Source organism: Homo sapiens, chromosome 3 (genome assembly GCF_000001405.40).
Source record: "Homo sapiens chromosome 3, GRCh38.p14 Primary Assembly".
Classification (NCBI taxonomy): Eukaryota; Metazoa; Chordata; class Mammalia; order Primates; family Hominidae; genus Homo; species Homo sapiens.
The window spans coordinates 134,915,316-134,931,790 of record NC_000003.12 but is presented as its reverse complement, the minus strand read 5'-3'; the positions used below and the strand labels follow the sequence as shown (position 1 = coordinate 134,931,790).

At 48.1% G+C, this 16,475-nt stretch overlaps 1 protein-coding gene across 1 annotated transcript in view; it reads right to left on the bottom strand.

Moving 5' to 3' along the window:
- The window catches only part of EPHB1 (EPH receptor B1), a 465,208-nt gene that overhangs the window by 328,677 nt on the left and 120,056 nt on the right, over positions 1-16,475 (bottom strand). Inside the window, exon 2 of the mRNA NM_004441.5 lies at positions 5,911-5,975. Within this exon, the coding sequence (NP_004432.1) occupies positions 5,911-5,975 (65 nt within the window). The remainder of the gene's footprint in view (positions 1-5,910; positions 5,976-16,475) is intronic.

Sequence of the window (16,475 nt, the reverse complement as noted above, 5' to 3'; positions counted from 1 at the left end):
ACATACACAAATATACATACACTCATATATACATGCACACACATACTTATATTTCTAAAGAGACATATATGCACACATACATACACACGGAGTACACATGAGCCCAGCTCACTCATCCTGAAGGTTCATGAGGCTTGGCTTCGGACTTCCTTCCTGTTTTTCCTCTATCGCATCCCCTTTCCTATGGTGAAGATCTGCCAGTGTTACAGTAGTCAACAGAGCGTATCACAGGCCCTGAAGGTGGTTCCAGAGGACAGCACAGGAGGAGGAGACTGGAAGCCCTCGCAGCACTTTTTTGAAAGTAAGAACTCAGGTAGATGTTTACACATAAGCCACACATCTCACAAACACAGAAACTTACACACACAGAGGCCAATGGTGGCCCAAGTACAAATGGCCATGAGCCCTGGCCAACCACTTCAAAAGTAAAAGAACTGTGGACTGAGATTTCCAACAAGCAAGTTAAATAAGCCTCTTGATCAGAGGGACTAGGTTTGCCTTTCTAATCCATCACAGCCAGGGGCTGAAAGCAACAGGGACTTTCTTCTGCCTGTCCTGGTCCCCTTTATTATGCTTATCTCAGGAGAAGTGGCTCCATGTGCATCACTAATTATGCTCTTTAAAAAGATATTGACAACCAATTGGGTGTTAAGAGGTCTACAACAAACATGTTACAGTGCATTTGGGTTACAGTAAACCTAAATTAAGTGTCTCCTAAGTTCAGGGGCCTGTGATGGAGATGCAGACAGGTATCAAGAATGATCGTTATTCATTTACTCAGTCAACAAAACATTAATCTGATCCTGTCCTATGCCAGGCTGGTGCTGGGCACCAGGGACACAAAGAGGGAGCTGGCTCATTCTCTGACCAGTGCAAGAGACTGACACATCAACAGTTATTTAACTTACAGAGTGAAGGACAGTATGTTAGAGGTTGGTACAAAGCCCCACAGGCTTAAAAAAATGGGGCACCCACCCCAGCCATGGTGGGAGGAGCATCCAGGAGCGTCCCAGTGGGGCTGAGAACAAAACTGACACCTGAGAGACAGAGTGTCGGGAAGAAGGAACAGAGTAGGGAGGCCAGGGAGCATCTAGGAACTGGAGCAGACCTGGAGGTGCAACCAGAAAGACTGCTACTTACAGAGCACTGCCCATGGTTGGGCACAGCGCTGACTGTTTATCCACAGGACCTCTCTGAACTCCCCACTGCCTAGAGGTCCAGAAATGTAAAGGTTAGGGAGTCTTTCAGGCCAGGGCTAGAAGCCAGCCCAAAGAAAGGGTCACCAGGGCCTGTGGTGAGGGTCCCTGGGATAGCCCGTTAGTGGGAGCTCAGCCTCTCCCTGGCATTTGTTACTTTGTAAATGTGTTTGTTACCTTTTTCCTCTGTTCACCAGGTAGCCCCTGATTTAGATTAAACCTAAAGGCCTTCAATGAAAGGCAGGGTGCTGCAATAGATTATAAAGCAGCATTTTTAATCTGGGCGTACTTTCTGGTTTTGACACGTAATATTGCTTTTCAACAATAAAACTGAGAATGATTTGTGGGCTTTGTGTAGGTGAGTGGTCCAACCCCTTCCTATATCTGGTAGTTCTCAAGTACAGCATCAAAGGCACACACTTAGCCCCATAAAAGGAAGAGTCCCTTGGCCTCTCTCTGGGTCTGAAAGCCTGCCACACAGGCTATGCACTGTGGATGGGGCCCATTGCAATGCCAGCTGGGCCCCTGGCAGCACTGTGTGCCTCCTCTGGATGGGGCAAACCCAGTTCCTTTGAGGCCTCCAGAACAATCTCTGCCTTAAACATCCATGCATGGTATCCTGACTGCAGAGAAACAATCTGAGGACTTTCCCTCCTTTTTGGGCTGACAGTCCATCTCTCTCTCCAAAATCTTCTCCATACTAGGTCTCAGAAAAAGGAGGACCCCTGCTCTCCCAAGCCTCCTGGCTTCTCAAACACCTGAGCTCCTCAGTGCCATGAAGTTCATCCTCCTCTGCTCCAGCAGCTCACACCATGAACCACTCAGAGCCTCTTCACCCGGAAGACCTCTGTGTGTCTTAAATCTGAAGTCAAGGTGCCAGGTCTTCCTCCAGTCCCAGCCATGCCATCACATCTGTTCTTTAGCCTCACTGAGACCTACATCTGGGGCCCCTGGGCTGGTCACACCAGTCCCTCCTCGCCTCACTCTTTCCTGTGGGGTATATGTCATGAAATAAGGTGCCAGCATCCTCAGCCCCTGGCCCCTTCAGTCCTGCCATTTTTTCCTGTGCAACCAGAACTCTGGATGATCCCAATGCCACAGCTCTTCCAGGCAGTCAGGCAGCTGAAGGAGGCCTGTAGATCAGGATCCTCACCCGTGCACAGTTGTCAGCCACAATTCAGCTCTTACTCCTTGCCATATTCCTCTGAAATATGCCCAGCCTCTCTGCAGCTCTCAGTAGCAGTTCCTTTTGTGCCCTCTCAACACCTGCTACCTGGACTCCACATGCCTCACCCTCCAAACCTCACTTCCAACCTCATAGAGAAGATATGCAGCTGAGAGGAATTTTTCTATTTCATGGCTCTGTCACGTCAAAACTGAGCACTCTCAGCTCTCTGTAGGTGCCTTTATCTCTGTCTTGCTATTTCAACAGGAAAGGAGCCATTTCCCCGGGAAAGGCAAATGTGCCCACAGCCCCTTGTTCCCTCCGTCTACCAAGCTCTGTCCTCCTTCTCTTACCAACTGCTGTCTCTACTGCCCACCTCCTACTGACTCTTCACCTCTCTGCTTTCTGGCTTCCTGTGCTGGGCCCCTCTGAAACCATCTGTATACTTAACCATAGGGTTCTTGCAGCTAAACCCAGTGGAAATGTTTAACACGCAGAAGCATTTGCCACTTTTGTGCCCTCCTCCCTGACACACTCTTCCCCTGGCTTCTAAAACTGGACCTCCTCTTGGTTTTCTCCTGCTCCCAGCCCACTCTTTCCCAGTCTCCTGGTCAGGTTCTATTTGGCACTTCAGTGCAGGTTATCCATCCAAAGCTCTCACCTCTTTCCTCTCTGGACACTCCCCTGGGAAACTGCAGCCATGCCCCAGGCTCCCATCTCACTGACATGCGGCCGCCTTCTGATTCCATTGCCCCTAAGTCGAATACTGATGGCACACCTTCCCGTGGGTGCCTCAGAGACGCTTCAAGCTTGACAGGTCCCAGATTGACTCATCCTCTTCCCACCCAAGCATACTCCTCCTCCTGTGTCCTCTGACTCCAAGGATGGCACCATCATCCACCCACTTGCTCAAGTCAGAAACTTTCAATAGTGAAACATTGAGTCAGGTAGTGAACTAGGTGTAAGCTGCCAATGATGAACAAATGCATAGAGTCCTGGCCACCCCGGAGGTTATAATATGGCTGAAGGGGGGCTAGAAATGAATCCAATTCTAACACAGAGAGGTATAAACTTTGGGACTGTGTATTGTGCTATTGGTAAAGCTCCCTGGCACTGAGAAGACCTGTGATGGGGTATCCAACATGGCTGGGATGCAGAGAGCGTATCCCTGAGGATGGACACGAGCAGAGATCTGAAGATAATAAAAGGAGAAGTCAAGAATCAGTTTCTGGCCTTTATAAATGTGCTAAGATTTGGACAGAGAATGCACGTGTGTGCGTGGGGAAAGGAAAAGGGGTGAGATCTGCTTGGCCATGTTGAGACCGATATGCCCATGAGCATCCAGTGAAAGAGGTGGCAGCTAGACATGTGAGTCTGAGCCAGATATACTAACTTGGGAGTCACTGGTGTGTTCACAGAATTGGAGGGTACTGTCCTGGAAGAGCACAGAGGAAACAGACAAGCAGGCCTGGGATGGAAGCATAGTCCTTGATCCTCCTTTTCCACCCAGACCAAAGGCCATGTTGACCCTCCCACTCGTCACTGTAAACTAGACAGACTCAGAAGCTACTCCAGGCACCAGGAGAATGATCTGGCTGTGTCTTGCCTCACAATGAGTGTTGGGGAAAGGCAGCTGAGCATGCTGGTAGCAGGTGGGGAGGGCAAACAGGCAGAGCCCAGGCAGCTGCTGTCTCTAAAGGGCATGCCTTGACTTTGAATGTTTCCCTCAAGGAGAATCTTCCTTGGGAAAGGATATCAGAAGTATAAAGAAAACAGGTGTTGTGTACAAAAACCAAGGGAAAAATTAACCATAAATTATGTTGGGGCCTTGTAAAAACACACAAGCCTTCAAACAATAACATAATTTGTAAAAGATGGCAAATTCTTAATATCCAGGTGATATGGAAGAACTGCTGCCTCATCAGCTTTACATAAAGTCCCAAGTAAAAGTGGGAAGGTTTTCCTGGTTGCCCACAGTGTTACTGGCATGACTTGGCCTTGTTCAGTGTGGTCTGGCTCTGCCCCTGTCCCTGCTCCCTGCTTTAGGGAATGCCAGCTCATTTTGGACCTTGCTTCCCTGTTTCAAGGCATCATGCTTATGCCTCGAGCAGTGCAGTTCTTCAAATGCTGGGATAAAGTAACAGTGAGAAACCAGTGGAGAATGCACAGGTGAGATAACTGTCTGCCCTGTGACCCAAATGTCCCGATTAGAACCACCCCTGCAGCAGAACCAGGGCATGGTGATGATGTGCTATGCTGGAGATCCTTCATGGGGCATAGAGGTTACAGGGATGGGACGCAGAGAGAAGGTCTGGGACAGAGGAGGAGGCCCAGGGCCACCCTGTCCTAGCCAGACATCACCCACTGGCTGGGATGAAGAGAGCACTCCCACCTCCTCTTGCCTTCTCCCTTCATGATTAACCCCTGAAATTAGCCAACTGCCCAAGCCAGGGACATGAACATCATCTCCACCTCCTCTCTCTTTCTCTCATTCCTGCCATAGTCCATCCATTGCCAATTTGTCCTCCTTAACTTCTCTCAAACTAGCCTCTGCATATCCTATTTTAACTTGATTCTTTTGTCACACCCAAGACAGCTGAAAGAGCCTCTTAAATGCCTTTCTCTCAACTGTTCTCGACAATCCTGTCAACAAGTGTGACCATTTCCTTCTCCTGCTCAGGATCTCTCCATTTCCTATAGGATAAAATCCAAGTTCCCTGCTCAGCATGGCAGTCACAGTCCATCGCCACCCTTCCAGGTTCCAACTTACCCTCCAGCCCCATCTCAGCAGCATTCACACCATGCTCTCTTCCATACACACAGACTCTTCCCTCTTATGTGTTTTCATAATCTCATCATCCCTTTCAACCGGCATTCCTCCTACTTAGAACGTCTTTCCAGGCTCTCTTTACAACATCTGTCAATCTCCTACTCATGCTCTAAAACCCAGCTTGCTCACACCTTGTCTGTAAAGGCTTCTTGTCTAACCTCATGGTTTCTCATTCCCAACTCTGTGCCCACACCTACCTGTTGATCTCCAGTGCCACACACTGGTTCCCACAGGAGGCCACGAGCTCCTCAAGGATAATCTATTTTTGTAGCTGGCCAGTTACATGAACACTAGACAAATAAATCATTAATGTCTCTCCAAGGCAAGGTCTAGGTGAAAGAGAGCTTAGCCATTCTGAACTCTACCTCCTCCCTCATGTCTTTGCCTTTGCTGCAGCCCTTTGGGCATCACAGATCTCTGATCTGCCTCAGTGCCACTAGCCTGCGTGCCCCCATCCCCACACAGCGATGGCCCTAGTTGTCTAGGTGTCAGCTTTCAGAAAGGACTGTGTCAAGAGATGGTCTACATCAGCACACGAGGCAGCAGCTCAGGTCTGAGACCCCTGGTGCTGTCTTTGCATGGATGGGCAGTGGACACAGCCATTCACACCTGTATTCCATTCCCCACAGGTACTGCTCTGGGTAGTCTCTACTCCCCTAGATATCATATGGATCCAGGACCTCATAGCAGGACTGAAAGACGAATGGTTTGATACTCACCCCGGACGCAGGATTGGCCGTCCAGCCCAGCTCTGCAGTAGCCGTTCTGGTGTCCATTAACGTTTCTGTAGATTAAAAAGAAAAAACGAATAAACAAAAACAATGAGTCAGAAGGATTGCTATACAGTGGCCCTCAAGGTCACGAAGTTGTTTGTGATAGTAAATGACAGTACTACAAGGAGGTTTGTGCATCTTCAAGCCCAGGTCTCTCTGTGAAGCCCAAGGCTCAGATAGCAAAAGAAGCCCGCCAAGATTATGCAGCTTATGGCAAAGTTGGATACAGACTTCACGTCTGATGCTAAGTCCAGTGCTCTCTCCCCGGTGACCCCAAGGCTCCTGTGTAGGATGAAGTCATCTGTGCACCCACTACTTTACCGCCAAGACCCAGCTTCTTCCCAGATTATTCTTCCCAGAGATTCTGCCAGGGCCGTGTTGAACAAGTAGCCAAAGTTAATTCCTTCCTCAAGCCTTTCTAGGCCACCTCTTTTTGCCTTCTTCCTCCCCATTATGCAGCTTCTCTGGCCTCATCTGTCTGCCCTCCTTCCTCTCCACACATTCTCCTCTGCCTCCCCATCAGGCATCTATATTGACACCCTTGGGTAACTTCCCATCAACTCCAAAGGGCTCACATAGCTTTGTCAAAGGTTTCACATAGAACACAAACACACATCCCACATCCCAGCAGCCTACCATGCAGGTGATGAAGTGGCAAGGGTGGCCACAGCAGCCAGCTGGTTACCATCCTTCCTCTGGCCACAGAAAAGGAAAGACAGACACCTGGATGCTGCTGTGAGCTCCTAGGAGCCGTCAGGGATAAACTGCACATATTTAAAATGTATGATTTGATACATTTTGATATATATGTACACCAGTGAAACCATCACCACAAATTAACATAATAAACATATTCATCATACCCAAAAGTTTATTTAGTCCCTTTGTAATCCTTTTCTTCCTCCTGCTCCTAACCCACCATGTCCCTGTCCCAGGTAATGACTCATCTGCTTTCTGTCACTGTAGAATAAATGGCATTTTCTCACATTTCGTATAAATGGAACCATATAGTATATGCCATTTTTAAAAAATCTTGCTTCTCTCACTCAGCATAATTATATTAAGAATTATTCATGTTGTTGTGTATACCAATAGCTAATTTCTTTTTATTGCTGAGTAATACTCTTTTGTGTGATGTGCCACCATTTGTTTATTCATTCACCTGTTGTTTCCAGTTTGGGGCTATTATTGTGAGAGTCTATGGGAGTTCCAGTTCCTCCATATTTTCATTGACACTTGGCATGGTCATTTGTTTTTAACTTTAGCCATTTTAATCAGTGTGTAGTGATATATCATTATGGTCCTAATTTTCATTTCCTTGCTGGCAAATGGTGTTAAACATCTTGTCACATACTTATTTGTCATCCATAAATCTTCTTTGAAGTGTCTATTCAAATCTTTTTCTCCTTTTTAAATGGATTATTTTCTTATTATTGAGTTTGAGAGGTCTTTATATATTCTGAATACAACTCCTTTTTCAGATATATGCTTTGCAAATATTTTCTCCCAGTCTGTGTCTTATGTTTTCATTTTCATAACAGTGTCTTTCAAAAATCAGAAGTTTTTAATTTTGATGAAGTCCAATTTATTATTTGGTTTTCTTTTACAGTTTAGTGCTGTGTCTGAAAAATCTTTGCCTAACCCAAGGTCACAAAGATTTTTTTCTCCTACCTAGGTCTATGGTTCAAGTTAATTTCTGCATAAGGTGGAAGGTATTGGATCAATGTGCTTTTTTCTTGATGTGGATATCCAATTGTTGCAGAGGGACACTTTTAAAAATTTACACAATGGTGCTATATGGGCAGGTGATGGTGTCCTAGTCCCCTGCATTCCCAGGATATGTATCAAGGGAACAGACACAGCATCTCCCAGCTGCATAGCTACTCAACAAACAGGGAAGGGTACAATATAAATGATGCATTGTTTGGGTTTTTTTCTCCCCTTGTCCTTCCCACTGCCTCCCCTTCCCATAACCATGAGAACAGCCACTCCTTGTTTACCATGTCAGGGAGGAGATGTGAATGCAGAGTCACAAAATCTTGGGCCCACTATGAAATAGAAGAACCCTGTCATAAACCAAAGGTTTGGGGAGAAACCCATCCTAGGAGCAGGACTAAGGGAATTAAAACAGAAGTGATAAATGGGGAGCTATGTGGAAGAAAGGGTCTTCCTATGCTCTCATTGCTCACTCAATCCCAAAGAGCTACCCACTCCACAAGAGAAATGCTGAGAGCCTGTCCAGGACACAGGGGCTTGGATATTCAGCATCCTAGGGAGGTGAGGGAGTGGCCAATGGCCCCACCAGACTAACATGGCACTCAGGAACCGCAGGGGGGCCAAAGGGCCTGAGTGGGTCTAATGAGGGGGACCTGGGAGCACCCAGTGGTGACCTGCATGGGATATAAGCAGGGTTCAGGTGGGGTACAGGGTATCTCAGCAGGTGCCTGTGTGGACAGGAGCCAACAGAGCCAGGGAGTGCCTTCCTCCACAGCTTAACATGATGGGCCTACCTGTAACCCAGATAGCACTTCTGCTACCCCAGCGAAACAGGGGCTCAAACTGGGAATGAACAGGAGTAAAAGCAAATAAAGAAAGCTGCATTTTCCTACCCATGTGAGTTTGTGTTCGGATTGAGTCGTGCCCCATGCATATTTGAAGGAACATAAGCATTGGAGCAGGCTTCTTAAGTTTGTTTTCGTCTCCAATTCTTCTGACAGCTGGGGAGGCTGGTCCCTGCTTAGAGCAGCTCTCCCTCCCTCCCCCCATCTCCACTTCACAGCACTAATAATGATCATCATGACACACCAAATTTACATAATACACTTCTCAGAAGACACTCCATGAGGCTCTGTAGAAACTCATCTCCATGATTATTAAAATGTCTCCGCCAGGTGGGCCTGAAACAGGGGCAACTGAATCCTTGTGGCGGAGTTGGGAATCGGGGTACAGGAAGGTGCAGTGCTTTCTCTCAAGTCACACAGTTTCCCACCCTGACACCAACAGCCTCAAATCTCAGCACATGGACCACAAGGCCGACTTGGGCTTTTGAGGGGCTCTGCTGAAGCTCTGGGGTCTGGCAGGAGTGGGATCCTCACTCATAAAGCCAAGAAGCCACAAAAGCTCCCAGAATAATGCATCCCCCACCCCAACAGCAAGATCATGTTGGAGGAGCAGGGAGCGGGCAGAGGATGGTGGCGAGGAAAACAGAGTCCAGAATCAAATAAAAGAATCAACCTTACTTCTTTGTCGTCCAAGGACTCATTTGTTTTATTAACCCCATAAATACAGCCCAAGACTTCATATTAGTCATGATCACCTGCTCTAGTGCTGTAATTAAATCTGCTTCTAAATAATGTTTTCCACACACTCTGTTGGACAGAATTTGCAGCAAGAGAAATCCATTTCTTTACATCTGCCCATTGTGGAGACAGAAGACCACAAAACCATAAACCATCCACTCCATATGATGAAGGGCAGTTTCTTTTCTGGCACAGAGAGCTCCTGATGATGGCATTACACTCTAGTGGGGGCTGAATAAAAGTGATTTGAGCAGGTTTACATCTCCCTGGAGAGGAAGAGCGCACTCATTTGCATTTATAAAGCATATTGAGAGTTCTGGCAGAAAGTTATGGTGGAAGCACAATTAAATATTTACCATCACTTCTGCTCTCAGACAGTGGCACGGGGACCAACCCAGCTGGAAGTGCGTGTGGTGCTGTGAGATCTGGGGATTCCTGCAGAGGACACGACTCTGGGACCCATGCCCACCACCCTCTGGGAGCACGTACTCAGTGCCCAAGGGGAGATCGCCGGGAAGGGCACACGCATGGTGGAGAGAGTGCTGGTGTGGGCAGACCAGGTCCCAAGTCCCATCTTCACTACCTAGAAGAGATATGACCTTGCTCGTGTCATACAACCTCCCCCGTCCCTCTGCCCTCCCTCTGTCTCTCTCCATCTCTCTCTCCACCTGTGCTCCTCATCTGCAGGATGGGCCTAGAGCTAACTAGTAGGCAGGATTATGAGGGGAGAAGGTGAGGCTGAGTGAAATAAAACACTGTGAAACATGAGGTATTGCTATTACTATAACTTAAATCACTCCAAGTTTTAGTCTCTTTAGCTATGTCAAAATCTGATATGGTATATTCTATATGATATCGATAAAGTATCTTTAAGAATCTAATTATGTTACACATCTAATGATATTTCATCTGCTTTCTTCTTTGCATTGTTGTAAAGACCAAGGGAATAACACATGTTGGGGATACAACAATGCATATAAATTGATGTGTGCCTCAGAGAAATTCATGGTTTAGTTGAGGAAAGGACAAGAAGCAAAGTCATAACTGGCACCCTATTCTGGCTGAGCCTATGAGAAAAAGACTGGAAAAACGAACTGGAAAAATTTTTCTGTATGCGGGGAACAGGTGTGCCTGTCCCAACAAGGAGCATCAGGGAGATTCGCCCTGTGTGTAGGCAAAGGGAAATGCTTGAGGTTTCCTGGAAAGGGGTGGGCAGTGGTGAGGAGGGAAGAATGGAGTATCTCCCCCTGCCTCTTGGGACAGAGACGGGAGAGTGACTCCTAAAAGCAACAGTGGGAGGGGCAAGAACCAGCTGATGGGAATGAAGTAGGAGTCATCCCAAGCAGATGGGAGAGTAAGAAAAACAGTGAGCAAAAGGAGAAGGGAGGCTAAGAAGGCAGATAGAAGGGATTTCTGGCAAGGGCTGGCTTGACTTGCAGGAACCTGGGAAGGATGAGATGCATAAGAAACCTAGCATAGAGCCAGGTACTGTGGCGTGCACCTGTAATCCCAGCTACTCAGGGGAGACTGAGGTGGGACATCTCTTGAACCCAGAGTTTGAGACCAACCTGAGCAACATAACAAGACCCCGTCTCAAAAAAAAAACCTGACAGAGAGATCCCATATTCCCAGGGAACACTTCCCTGTAGAGGCTTCAGTATGGAAACCCTCAGGGCATTCCCACCAACCAGTGGGGCCACCTCCTGGGGGTCCGGATGGTGGGGCCAGGTCTGAGCCTCCTGTGAGGAAGAAGAGGCAGGTACTGCCTGGCCCTGCAGGCAGTTTCTGTTTCTGTCTGGATTGGCACCTTTGGATATACTGACATTTGGGAAAAATTAGACACCCATCATGTTGAAAAGGAAATAAACCCTCTTTTTACAGCTCCTCCATGCTTTTTGGAGAGACATTAATCAGATATTCAGTTGAAATATTTACAGTGTCCTTCCATCATGGTAACAAAATACAACATATACTAACAGATGGAATAGCAGCTTCCAGGCCTTTTCTGAGCAGTGCCTTATGTGTATTTGATAAGGCAAGTCCACAGACCTTTCAAGCAGGACAGGGCTAGCGCCACCGTACAGTCATTTCCCTGTGTTATTCTCCACAGCCCACAGAACTCTTTAAGCCTGAAAGCCACACTATGAAATAGCTCAAGAACAAAGCTGCTATTACGTAAATGCAAGCAGCCGAGAGTTGGTCCCACTGCACAAAGGACACACGGCAGCCCCAACTCCTTCCCTCTACCTCCGCAGAGGATCCTTGCAAGAGAGCTGCAAGGTGGTAAAAAGGGGTTCAGGTATGCATTCAACAAAGAATTTTTAGTAACTCCCATGGAGACTGGGGGAAGGGAGTGCTGTGCAAGCAGAGACGAACAGGGAATAGACAGACATCCCAGCCCTCAGGGAGCTTGCAGCCACACAGAACACAGAAATTTTTCCAATAACCATGCAACTAGATCTGCAATGGCAGCCTCAGTGAATGGTAGGAGATGGACTCATAGGTACAATGTGAGCATGGAATAAAATGGCAGATGTATGGAGCCTGGTAGGCAGCTGGAACTTCCTCCTTCTTTTCCCCAGCCCCTGGCTGTTGAAAGCGCAGAGACCACCCCCGTCCCCTTCACATATTTGTGTATGAGCACACACACAGGCGCATGCATACACACACACACACACACACACACCCCTGCCCTAAGACAGTCCATACTGGCAAGAGTGGGATATATTAAATAATACCCCCCAGTCCCAAATCCAGACTGCATTAGGTGCCAAGGGTGTGCGTGGCTGGGTCGTCTGCCTTCCCTAGGGGTCTCTGAGCTGTCCTCCGAACCTGATCTGCACATGCTCTGCTGGCTGGGCAGGCCAGCCCTATTGGCATGGAACTCCTGTATGATGCCCACATGGCTCCTCAGGGTGTCTACTGCCCTTGACCCTCAGCCCTTGCAACAGGAGCCCAGCACTAAAGGTGTTTAAGCGCCAACTTCACACCATGTCCGGACCTCCTGCTGCCTGTACAGGCTGGTCTCCCTGTAATCTCATCCCTACCCGTCTGAATTGGCCTCAGGTTGCCTGCTGGCTTTGGATTTTGGAATGGGATTGGTTGACTGTAAACTGTTAAGGGCACCAGCCTGTGTTCTATCATGACCAGTGCCTGGGCCCAGCACAGCCACAGAAGTTCAAAGAGAACATGTTCCAAGCAAACTTTCCACAACCCATCTCCCATGTGTCTCCCCCATCTAAATCTTCTCCCTCCAGCAATTCTCTTCTTCTTCACACCAAACCCTTCCAAACTTCCCTGGGGCCCAGCTGTGAAACTTCAGCAGCATTTAGTTTTGATTCCTTCCTCTACTTCAGTCTTTTACTCAATCATTAACCATATTCCAATGGTTCTTTCTTCCTTTACAGCATCTTTTTCAGATGCGTATTCCTTTTCATTATCAGCACCCTATCTGACTCCAGGGCTTCATTCCTGCACATGAGGACCACAGCAACCACCTCGTAACTGGTGTTTCATCCAGGAGGCCTCATCTCGGTTGCTCTTCATGCAGCTGGAGACTTCATTGTCTGATAATGTAAATAGTTCAGCTTTTTAAAGAGTAATATGGCCACACTAAAGAAAGGCTTATAGAGTCTCAGGCCCTCTGACCACCTAATAACTTCACTCCGAAGAATTTGTCCAAAGAAAATAATTTCAGAAGTAAACAAAAAGCCCTATATCATGAAGGTATTCATTGCATCATTATCTGAACTATGAGAAAAACTGGAACCAGCCCAGAAGAGGTGCAGGATAGCACATTCACACGCCTGGAGTGTTATGAAGACAATGTAGCAGTGAGCAGAATGTGAGCAGTGAAAGAGAAAGCAGGAAGCAGAACTGTGTGAGCCAACAGATGCAACTCAGGAGACAGTGTTTCAACTGAGTGAAACAGCAACTACCTACAAAAACTAGGAAGCAAGATGGAACAGCTGCTGGGTAGGGGATGTTGGTTTACAGATGGGCTTCCTAATTATTACTATGCTGCTTTACATGACACAAATTCAGAAATAAAAATGTAACTAATTTTCAGAAAATTACTCTTTCATCACTTCTCATTCCTCTACTTTATGATTTTCAAAGTCTCTCCACTAACTCCAAGATATGCCACAAATGCCTGGCCTTTAAGAGCTTTCTGATCTAAACCCACCTCTTCCAAATTGATCTTCAGTTCCCTAAATGAAGCCCTTCTTCCAGCACCCCATTTCTGCTCATGCTGTTCCTCTTGCCTGGACTGTCTTCCTCCTCCCCTCTACACACCTGAAAGACTCGACCTAGTCCTACTCATGGAGGTCTTCCTTCCTCTACAGAACTCGTACTGTTTGAATGGTTGGTTTTCGTTATCACTTTATATATCTGAGTTTATTCGAAGTAACTTCAGAGCACAGAGCTGTGACTTCTGTCCCACAGAGCTTGGTCAGATGCCCTCATACAATATAAATGTTCAATAAACCCTGAAGATCTGGGTTCAAACCCCAGCTCCACAACTGATGAGCAAATCAACTCAGGCTGAATGCCAAAACACTAATGTACAACAAAGGTAGAGGCTTTCCCTCTTGCTTCCTGCCCTGAGTCAACAGAGACATGCCCATAAAGATGCTCTGTGTTTTCTTAAGAACACTCATTTGACTCACATTTATTTATTGTCTTTGCCAGTATAAAATGCTAGGCAAATGGAAGCTCTTATTGTGTAAGTCTCCACTGGTTGATGTGTGGTCATGGCCAGTGAGGAAGAGAAGAAACAAGCCTGAGGAAACTGAAAGTGCCAACCCAACCCATCTGCTGAATGACTGACTGATTGAATGAGTCTGAACAGGCATTTAAATTATAAAACAAACTGTGAAATTTGCTCTTTTAAAGGACATACAGATCAGCACAGTCCTCCCCACTACATCCTCCTCCTTCTGTTTCTTTTGTGTTCCAAGGTGCAATTAATTACGGTAACTAGAAAGAAGACGCAGCTTAGATGGGTCACAGCATAGAAAGATGTCTGAAGGAGTTGGGACAGGCCCTAGATTAGGTCTTGGTTCACACGTGGCATAGCCCATGAAAAAGTGGGAAGGCCCAGAGCCATTTCTCTCCCTCCAGGGCTCTTCCAAGGTAGACTTCCAGAGAAGCAGACCAGAGCATGGGGACATGGGAAGGTCTTTTCAATGTACGGAGCTGTGTAAGGCTGGGAATCAGCTTCAGAAGGGCTACCCTACCTGCCCAGCCCAGCTTGGCCCTTGGTACATGGCTTTTGATGGTCGTTCTCCTCTATGGTTCAGAGGGTTTCTTCTGGCTCTTAGTTCTTAGGGTGGTATCTGAGAAACATGACAAGAAACTATAGGGGACCTCTAGACCTACGATGGACTTTCTGTCTCTGGAATCCTCAGGTCTGGCATGGTCTTACAGTGGCTTAGTAGTGTGTATGCTTGTACTATGTGAGTGCTTTTCACTAATAAAATATGGAACTTACTTTAGAAGCTGTATTAGTTTCTTAGGACTGCTGTAACAGCACCACAACCTCAGTGGCTTAAAACAACAGAGGTGTTCAGAAGGTTAAAAATCTCAAATCAAGATGGTATTGAGAGGTGACAGTGTGCTGGCAGCCCTCGCAGCCCTTGCTCGCTCTTGGTACCTCCTCGGCCTCAGCACCCATTCTGGCCGCGCTTGAGGAGCCCTTCAGCCTGCCGCTGCACCTTGGGAGCCCTTCTCTGGGCTGGCCGAGGCCGGAGCCGGATCCCTTGGCTTGCCGGGAGGTGTGGAGGGAGAGGCACGGGTGGGAACAGGGGCTGTGTGCAGCTCTTGTGGGCCAGCGCCAGTTCCGGGTGGGCGTGGGCTCAGCGGGCCCCACACTCAGAGCTGCCGGCTGGCCGCGCCAGCCCCGGGCAGTGAGGGGCTTAGCACCCGGGCCAGCAGCTGCGGAGGGTGTGCCAGGTCCCCCAGAAGTGCCAGCCCACTGGAGCTGCACTCGATTCTCGCCAGGCCTTAGCTGCCTCTGCACGGGGCAAGGCTCGGGACCTGCAGCCCGCCATGCCTAAGCCTCCCCACCCCACCCTGCCATGGGCTCCTGCACGGCCTGAGCCTCCCGGACGAGCACCGCCCCCTGCTCCACGGTGTCCGGTCCCATCGACCGCCCAAGGGCTGAGGAGTGCAGGCACACAGCGCGGGACTGGCAGGCAGCTCCACCTGTGGCCCTCGTGTGGGATCCACTGGGTGAAGCCAGCTGGGCTCCTGAGTCTAGTGGGGACTTGGAGAACCTTTATGTCTAGCTAAGGGATTGTAAATACACCAATCAGCACTCTGTATCTAGCTCAAGGTTTGTAAACACACCAATCAGCACCCTGTGTCTGGCTCAGGGTTTGTAAATACACCAATCAGCACTCTGTATCTAGCTAATCTAGTGGGGACTTGGAGAACGTTTGTGTCTAGCTCAGGGATTGTAAACGCACCAATCAGCACCCTGTCAAAACGGACCAATCAGCTCTCTGTAAAACAGACCAATCTGCTCTCGGTAAAATGGACCAGTCAGCAGGATGTGGGTGGGGCCAGATAAGAGAATAAAAGTAGGCTGCCCCAGCCAGCAGTGGCAACCCATTCGGGTCCCCTCCCACCCTGTGGAAGCTTTGCTCTTTCGCTCTTTGCAATAAATCTTGCTGCTGCTCACTCTTTGGGTCCACAACGCCTTTATGAGATGTAACACTCACCGCGAAGGTCTGCAGCTTCACTCATGAAGCCATTGAGACCACGAACCCACCAGGAGTAAAGAACAACTCCGGACGCGCCGCCTTAAGAGTTGTAACCCTCACTGCGAAGGTCTGCAGCTTCACTCCTGAGCCAGCGAGACCACGAACCCACCAGAAGTAAGAAACTCTGAACACATCTGAACATCAGAAGGAACAAAGTCCAGACACGCCGCCTTTAAGAACTGTAACACTCACCACAAGGGTCCGTGGCTTCATTCTTGAAGTCAGTGAGACCAAGAACCCACCAATTCCAGACACAGTATCAGGGCCATACTTCCTCTGAACCTATCGGGGAGGATCTTTCCTGGGCATTTCTTGCTTCTGGTGGTTTGCCTGGGATCTCTGGTGTTCCTTGGCTTGCAGCTGCCAACTCCAATCTGCCTACCTCGTCACATGCTGCTCTCCCTGTCTGTCTCTGCCTTTATGTGGCATGACTATTTTATAAGGA